Source organism: Homo sapiens, chromosome 2, assembly GCF_000001405.40.
Source record: "Homo sapiens chromosome 2, GRCh38.p14 Primary Assembly".
NCBI classification, from domain to species: Eukaryota; Metazoa; Chordata; class Mammalia; order Primates; family Hominidae; genus Homo; species Homo sapiens.
This window is the reverse complement of record NC_000002.12, coordinates 105,964,289-105,972,758: the sequence shown is the minus strand read 5'-3', so window position 1 is coordinate 105,972,758 and position 8,470 is coordinate 105,964,289. Positions and strand designations below refer to the sequence as shown.

The 8,470-nt window shown below is 44.6% G+C and overlaps 1 long non-coding RNA gene across 2 annotated transcripts in view; it reads right to left on the bottom strand.

Moving 5' to 3' along the window:
• Window positions 1-1,567: 1,567 nt before the first annotated feature.
• Window positions 1,568-8,470, bottom strand: part of LOC105373531 (uncharacterized) — a 28,470-nt gene continuing 21,567 nt past the window's right edge. For both annotated transcript variants that reach the window (XR_923144.3, XR_923145.3), the window contains exon 3: window positions 1,568-3,067. This is a non-coding gene — a long non-coding RNA (uncharacterized LOC105373531). The remainder of the gene's footprint in view (window positions 3,068-8,470) is intronic.

The window sequence follows — 8,470 nt, the reverse complement described above, 5'->3', positions numbered from 1 at the left end:
GCCCATGGGCTCCCTCCTGGGCTTCAGGAGGGGATAGGGTATCCATCTGCCTGTTGCCTCCACTCTGTTCCTGTGCATCAGCCTCCTGCATATCACAGTGACATGACCCTGCTCTCCTCTGAACCCAGGTGCAGCAAAGGGAGCCAGGAAGACCTTGATTCCTCACATGTCTCTTTTGCTCTTGGTCTGAGATGCACCCAGCAAGGGCAGTCAGAACTCAGGCTTCGATGACACCTCCTGGCATTTTGCTGTGAAAGGGGCTGCAGCTGAATTGCTTCTTGGCAAACCACAGTGCCTGCTTTTGGATTCCAATACCGGCTCCACCACCTGCAAGGCAGCTTCGATTCCCCCTGTCTGTAGCATGGGGGTGATAATAGCCAATACTCAGCATGGTTTCATCAGCTCATGCACACAAAATGAACAGCACAGATCTTGTCATGGTGGCCCCCCTACAAATCAATGTTGGTTTTCTTTCCCCTTTAAGCCTGAGTGTAAACAAACAGGAACCACATTCAATTAACTCACTTTCACCATTTGTTTAGAAGTCATCTACTTCCTTTCGTGCTATTTTTGAATGGTTTTAAAAAACTATAACCACTAGGGCAATGTAAACTTCTAAAGAGATACTTGGAGACTCTTTTGGAACTAATGTATCCCTCAGACACCTTAGTGAGGGAGACTTCCTCCTGGTAACGTTTTGCATTGATCTTCTCAGCATTTGCCTTAGAAAGCTTTCAAAAGTAGGTGTTATCATTTTTGTACAGGACACTAGCAAGTGAAAAAAAAGGACAGGTGCATTAGTTTCCTCTGCTGTCTGTGCACATTGAGTCAGCAGCTGAAGGTGGAGGTAACATGGGCTGCAGAGGGCCTACCTCGCTCTCTAGGGAAGCTCCTGTTGCTCCAGCTCATTCAAGTCCCCAGCTCAGTGGGCTTCTGCATGGTGGGGGCTCTGGCATCCTGACACTGAATGCCGAGAAGAGGTGGCCATCTCTCCAGAAACTTACGTAGAGAAAGGCTCTTGCTGGGGACAGAGGAGAAAGGGGGTGGTGTGGCCACCTAGGGCTCAGGGGTTGTAATGGGACTTCCAACTACATTCCCGCCACCCTCATATCCCATCACCCTGGATATGAGTGAACCTCACCTTTTATGTCACTACTTCTTGTTTTTGAGTCTTGGTTTTCCCATCTATAAAATAAAGATAATACCATCTACCTCAGAGGGTTCTTGCAAGTTAGAGAGCACACTCATGTAGTACCTGGCATGTAACTGTATCTGCTGTTATTATGGTGGTGTTGCTGACAACTAGAAGAGGGGAACCTTCAATTCAGAAGTCCAGAATGTTTATTTGGCAGGATCGATCCAACATAACTGCACAGGGATTTCCATGTGACTGATATTGAGGGTCACTTTCCAGCTTTCAGCATCAGCAGGATTTCAGGGGTTCCCAAGGTGGTCCTCATGAAGGGAGCTGGAGGCAGTGAAAGAGCGGAGTCACCAACATACTTGTCACAACCTTAATGAAGTCTTCATTAGAGGTGGCATACAATTTGTTCCCAAGTCTGCATGGATTTTTGCATGTGAATGAATATATATACTTGCTAGCCAAATGAAACAATAAACATGGAAATGCTTTGAACAGAACAACACCAACACATTCATATTCAGGAAAGATACTGTTTTTACGTGCAGACACACCAACCTATGAATAACCAGACTGGTGGTGCACTGTACTAGCAGATAGTTTGTGTCTTCCTGGTTCTTTCTGGTTAGGGACACTTCCTTTGTGTCCCTAGCACCTCTACGTGCTGCAAGTGGACATAACTGATCTTCCAAAGCTTGGCCTCCAGTTCTCATCAGCTAGACTTGCTGCGTGTATTTGTCAGAATAGGTGTGATCCTGCTCCAATTATCAATTAATTCCCCATGTCTCTGTGGGTTAGTACAACGAATGTTTATTTGTCATTCACTTCCAGCCTAATGCAGGGCAGAGGCCCCTTCTGTGCACTCTGGGTCCTGAGGCTCCCGCTTGGTCACCAGTGCTTCCCCCGCCTTCCATGGGGGACGCAGCGACCTGGCCCAGCTGTACCAGGCTGGCAAATGGAGGGCTGGCATGGTATTTGGTGAGCCCCCGAATCTCAGAGACCTGGCACTGGCAAAACTAGAGTGGCCTGCCTTTCTTCCAGCAACATCTTCTTGCTAAATGTGCATCCATATGTCCCACATTTCTAGTGAAGATGCAAGAGGGCCTGCCACTCCATCCTCCATGGGCTGGCTGGACTCACACAGTATTGCCCTGTGGTTTCCACGTGAAAGGCACACTCTGCGGGAGGTGCCAGACTCTCCTCTGGGGCGTGGTGGGAAAGAAGAATTGTATTTCTTTCTATGTCACATTCTCATTTCTGTTTTTGTAGGCTTTACAGTGTACACAAGACATGTGTGCCATAGTTCATTGATATACTTTCTAAAGAAATAGATACATATAATGGAACTACAGCTTCAGAAATTTTTAATGATAAAAATTGTGTTCAGAATGAAATGGAGATGGCTATTTTAGAGATCAAGGAGGTAACTTCTTGACTGGCTGAAATACCATATTTAGTTCCTTTCAATATTCTGTGATTATTCTGCTCTCATGACAGAGGTTTACTCAAATGTACGTAGTTTTTTTTTTTTTCACGAGGCCCTCAGGTCTTTGGGAATGGCATCACACTTCACACTAACCTCTTAGTGTTATGCTCACCTTTAAATTAAAAAAAAAAAAGTTGAAGTATTTATTTTCTCTCCACTATGTTGTAAAATTTTCCACAATGGCAAATGCAAGTCATATAGTCTTGCAGGGAAGGAGAAGCAAGACTGATGATCTCCACGCTGGAGAGCTGCCTGTCTCCCTTTTTCTTCTCTTTCTTTTTCATTTCTTGGGCAGTGGGTAGGGGCAGTGGAAGTGAGGAGACAGAGGGCAGTGTCTATACTCTCTGGGCCCCTAAGCAAATCCCATCGCTGTCCAAAAGATGGAGCTGTTGTCCTGCAGCCAGGGTGGAGCCCTGTGGACCCTGCCGGAGATCCTGTTCCTAAAGGGAAGGCCAAAAATCACTTGTTGCTCATACTGGGAGTCCCTGTGTATGATACCTTAAACAGAGAAAAACGATCCTTAAAGGTAGGAGGAAGCCAAAGATGGCAAGAGGACGAATGGCTTCCGCAGCGGATATTCAAATATTACAGTTCTGTCACTTGGGCAGAGGATGGTTCATGGGGTTATCATACTCTCATATTTATGCTAAATAGAATAATTAGACTACAGGTGGTTCTAGAGATAATCACTAACCAAACCACCTCAGCCCTGGAAATGCTCACGCAACAACAAAACCAAATGCACCTGACAATTTATCAAAACAGACTAGCACTAGACTACTTATTAGCAGAAGAAGGTGGGGTCTGTGGTAAGTTTAATGTCTCTAATTGCTGTTTTAACATAGATGATAATGGAAAAAGCAGTTCTAGAAATTGCTTCAAACATCAGAAAAGTAGCCCAAGTACCAACTCAAACCTGGAAGGGATGGGACCTGGCAAACCTTCTGGGAGGGTGGTTCTCTAATTTAGGAGGATTTAAAACATGGGTAGGGACAGTAATCTTCATCATTGGGCTCCTCCTGTTTCTCCTGTGTTATCCCATTGATAATTAAAACATTGATAATAATTAAATAATAGCCATTAAAACATTGATAATAGCCATTAAAACATTGATAATAGCCATTAAAACATTGATAATAAAAGCCATTAAAACTTGTTGAAACTACAGTTAACCACCAGACAATTCAGACGTTGCTTCTGCTACAGTGACACAGTGGATACCAACCCGTCTCTCAAGAATACCCAAAAAATTAAGGTTTTCTTTTTCCAAGGTGCCCACGCCACCCCCTATGTCACACCTGCAGTAGTTATTGAGAAAGTTGCCCCTTTTCCCTTTTTTCTATAACCAAATAGGAATGAAAGATTCTCTCTGGGGCCTGAAAGTTTGAAGGGATGAGTATCTCCTCCCTTCTCAGGCCCAGTCCAAAGGCACAAGTCCACGTGAGTCAGCAGCGTGTGTCAGCAAGATAGCAGAATCAGGAAGAGAGCCAGCCAGAAGATACCTACCCTGGCTGGAAGACACGTACCCCTGAAGATTGAGAAGGAGGCCATCCGGGTACTACGTAGCAATCACATCAGACTGGGACACTTCCTGTTTACAGAGGACTATAAAACCCCTGTCCCGTCCTCCTTGGGGCTGATGTCATTTTAGGCCTCAGCCCACCTGCACCCAGGGGCTCATTAAACAGCATGTTGTTACACACACACACACACACACACACACACACACACACACACACACACACACAAAATCACTTGTTGCTTCTTCTACCTGAACATTTCAGACATGGCTGCCCTGGGATCAGTGTACCATTATGAAAATCATGGCAATTTTCAATGCTGGTCTTCAAAAGCTGGTGAAGAGTGAGAGAATGTTTTCATTTTCTCCCCAAACACAGTCTAACAGTATCTTCTGCTTTAACTGAAATACAGGGTCTGAAGTTAGCAAAGTCACCCGTGCTGCAGGACACTGCCTGGCTGGTGGGCAGTCGGCCTGTTGTGATGTGTGGCCCGAACTTGACCTTGAAAGTGGGGTAATAATGATCAATCCATCACCCTGCTTGCCTTGAGGCTGCTTCAGATCTAACAAGGAAAGCTTTGGAAGTCCCTGGAGCCCATGGACATAGGAGGGCCCACTGGCTGTCCAGGTGGCCACTTGGGTTCCTCTCCATCAGCAGCCCCCCTTCTTAGCCTGAGCAGACACCCCCAGCTGCCTGGGGATGCCAACTGCCTGTACTACCACCAGTAATCTCTCCTGCCTCTATTCACACATTAAATGCACTTTTTCAAAGCCTACTCAGTCTCTGGTAACTGCAACATTTGATAAGTATTTGAATGAGGACTTTAGAAACCAGGTTCCAATTTAATTTAAAACTTTTTACTTTCAATTAATTATAATTTCTCTAAAATTGAAATTTCTAGCAAGACTCAGGGGAGGCCAGGTAGACCTATTTAAGCATAGGAAGTCACTTGGACACCCTTAAAACCAGTGGTTTGCAACCTTGGCTACATATTAGAACAACCTGGGAAGCTTTCAAAACTCCCGATGCCACAGTGGGGCACCCCTGGCCAGGGCTACAGTATGAGTTTCCAGGGCTCCTTCATCTGTAAAAATATATTGAGACATTTTATGACTGCTTTGGTATAAAGAAAAATATGTTAATTTTGCATATTAAAACCTCTTCTTTGACGTAAAAGTCTGTTTTCTTCATTTGATTTCAAGGGAAATGTAAACCTTTTGTGTGTTCTAGGCACCGTGCCTAGTGGGTAAGTCAACTCTGCAGAGAAGGAGTTTATGGGGTGAACCCAGCCTTCAGCATTTTCTTAAGCTCCCCCAGGCCATCCTATTGCAAAGTCAAGGTAGATAACCATTTTCAACCATCTAGGACAGAAGGCCTACTTGGCTGGACTGGTCCTGGTGATCCAAAATAGCCTGGAGAGGTCTGGTTCCTTTAGTTCTAATGGACCATGTCCAGCCAAGGTCGGCCTGACCTTGGCCCTGCCTGCCCCAGGCCCTGGAATTCTGGTGAAATCAAACATCCTTGACTCCCACCTTTGGGATTCTGACCTGTACCTGCTGCCAATGAATCCTCCATCTCAGAGCTGGAAAAACAGAAGGACCTTGTAGACCCATGTAATTTCTAGTTGCAGAAGCAGTCTTGTTACTGTAGCACCTGGTTCAAGGTCATGGAAATGGCCAAAGCTAGAACTGGGCCCAAGCCCTATCTCCACATCTCACGCTAAGCAATCCCTCAGGAATGAACCTCATCGCCCAAATGGGCAAAACCAGTATGCTCTCTTGAGGGTGTAACTTGCTTGGTCCTTCTCTCTGCCCAAGAGCAGGCCCAGTGGTGAAACCACAAGGGGCCAGTTGCTCTCTGGTTGGCATTAGCTATAGCTTGTCTGAGAATAGGGTGAATAAGAACCGAAGTGGAAGCCTCCAAGGCAACACCAGAAGGCTGCTTATTACACCATGTTGATATGTTGATGCCAGGCTCAGAGGGAGGAGGAGATGAATGTTAGTGATGGCCACAAGAGAGCTGCAGATGTTCTGAAAGATGGGGCACAGCTGCTTTAACTGCCTTCACACCCATGGAATCCCTTCCCTCCTCTCCACTTTCCCTCTCTCCCTGCTTCCTTCTTTCCCTCCTTCTTTCCTTTCTTCCTTCCCTGCATCAACAAACACCTGTTGAGAACCTATTTCTAAATGCGTGGGAGACTGCAGGAGGTGTCTAACAAGGAAGAAACACATCAAGGCTTCAGGGTCTATGGGGAGAAAGCCCAGCACGTAGAAAAATTACAGAACATCAGCAGCAGGTCAGATATATGGGAGCATAGGGCAGGGGGCACAGGGCAGGGGGCATGTCATGGCCCTGTGGCTTGCTGAAGCCAGGGTCTCATAGGTAGTGCCATTTGAGCTGATTTCTGAAGAAGGCTCTTTGGTTGTCATGGAGATGAGGCTGGCAGGTGAGCATGCACAAGATGTGGAATTGAAAGGGAATTTGCGTGTTCTCCAGTGCTGTTGACTCAAGTGCTTCCCATTAGGAGTTGGGGCATTAATGAAATGCAACCACCTCAGTCATTTTCTTGGTATCCTTTCTGCAAATACAGCTATGAGCTAGAGCTAGGCATTTAGCTAAAGGACCTTTGTTTGTTTGTTTGTTTGTTTTGGCTTCCGTGTACACCCCCTGAAAGCAATTATACCGTTGTCAAAAAACCCTGCATTTTCACAGGTTCCTCAGAGCAATTCAGTGAAGAAATGGAACGGGTGCATGGAGCAAGTGAACAAATGGCTTGCAGGGAGCAGAGCTGGAAAGTCGATGGGCGCTGCATGTTTTCCTTAGGGGTTCCTCAGCCACCTCAAGCCTGTCTGCACAGCAGCCACAGTCCTCTCAGAACTCATCACTGTCTTCTAGTTATTTTAGTATCTTCTCAAAGCTATGCCTAATAAAGTACAGCACAGATCAAGGGCCTTAAAATGGTTTTTATTTTGCATTACTGTTTTTTTTGTTTTGTTTTTTGTTTGTTTGTTTGTTTGTTTTTTGAGATGGAGTCTAGCTCTGTTGCCCAGGCTGGAGTGCAGTGGCGTGATCTCAGCTCACTGCAAGCTCCGCCTCCTGGGTTCACGCCATTCTCCTGCCTCAGCCTCCCAAGTAGCGGGGACTACAGGGGCCTGCCACCACGCCTGGCAAATTTTTTGTATTTTTAGTAGAAACAGGGTTTCACCGTGTTAGCCAGGATGGTCTCGATCTCCTGATCTTGTGATCCATCCACCTCAGCCTCCCAAAGTACTGGGATTACAGGCGTGAGCTACTGCGCCTGGCCTGCATTACAATTTTTGACCATGCATAACAGAAGGTTGAAGAGAAATATATCAAAACTTTAACAGGGTTTGTGCTTGAGTGATGGGCTTTTTTTTCCTTCTCTCTCTCATATTTTTTAACCTTTTATTTTAAAATAATCACAGACTCACTGTAATTTGGAAAAATAATACAGAAAACCCCATGTATCCTTCTCCCAGATTCTTCCAATGGTTACATCTTGTGTGGTATAGACACACAATGGAATATGATAGTCTAATGAGAACAAAGGTTCTCCAACTACTCACAACAGTATGAATGAATACATTCAGAAGCATAATATTGTACAGCATCAAACCCAGAAAGTTGACATCAGTGCAATGCTGTTAGCTTGACTATAGACCTTATTCAGATTTCATGAGTTTTTACACACACCTATTTGTGTGTAGGTTTATGCAAATTTATCACATTTAAAAATTCATGTTCTCAGATTTTAATAACTTTTTATAATAAGAATATACTCATTTTATAATAAAGAAGAAGGCTTTACTTTTCAACTTTTTTTCTGGGAATTTCTCCAAGAAAAAAGAAATCCTAAATATGTAATTTCCTAGACACAAAGTTTTTTATTGCTAAGTTACTTACAATATAAAAAAATTAAATCACCCAAGCATCTCACTAGAAGAAATTAAATATAATTAACCAGAGAACCTCTGCTTAATGGACGATTGGGCAACTATTTGAAATGTTTATGAAAAAGGATGTGATAACACATAAAGATGCTTATGATGAGGTTAAGTGAAAACCAAGCTGCAAAACTGTACAGCAGGGTGACGATAACTATGTAAAAAGAAATCAACGCATGGAGGAAAAACAGGAGGCAAACACTGATATGGTTTGGATTTGTGCCCCCACTCAAATCTCATGTTGAATTGTAATCCCCACATGTCAGGGGAGGTTCCTGGTGGGAGGTGATTGGATCATGGGCGCAGATTTCCCCCATTCTATTCTCGTGATAGTAAGTGAGTTTTTATGAGATCTGGA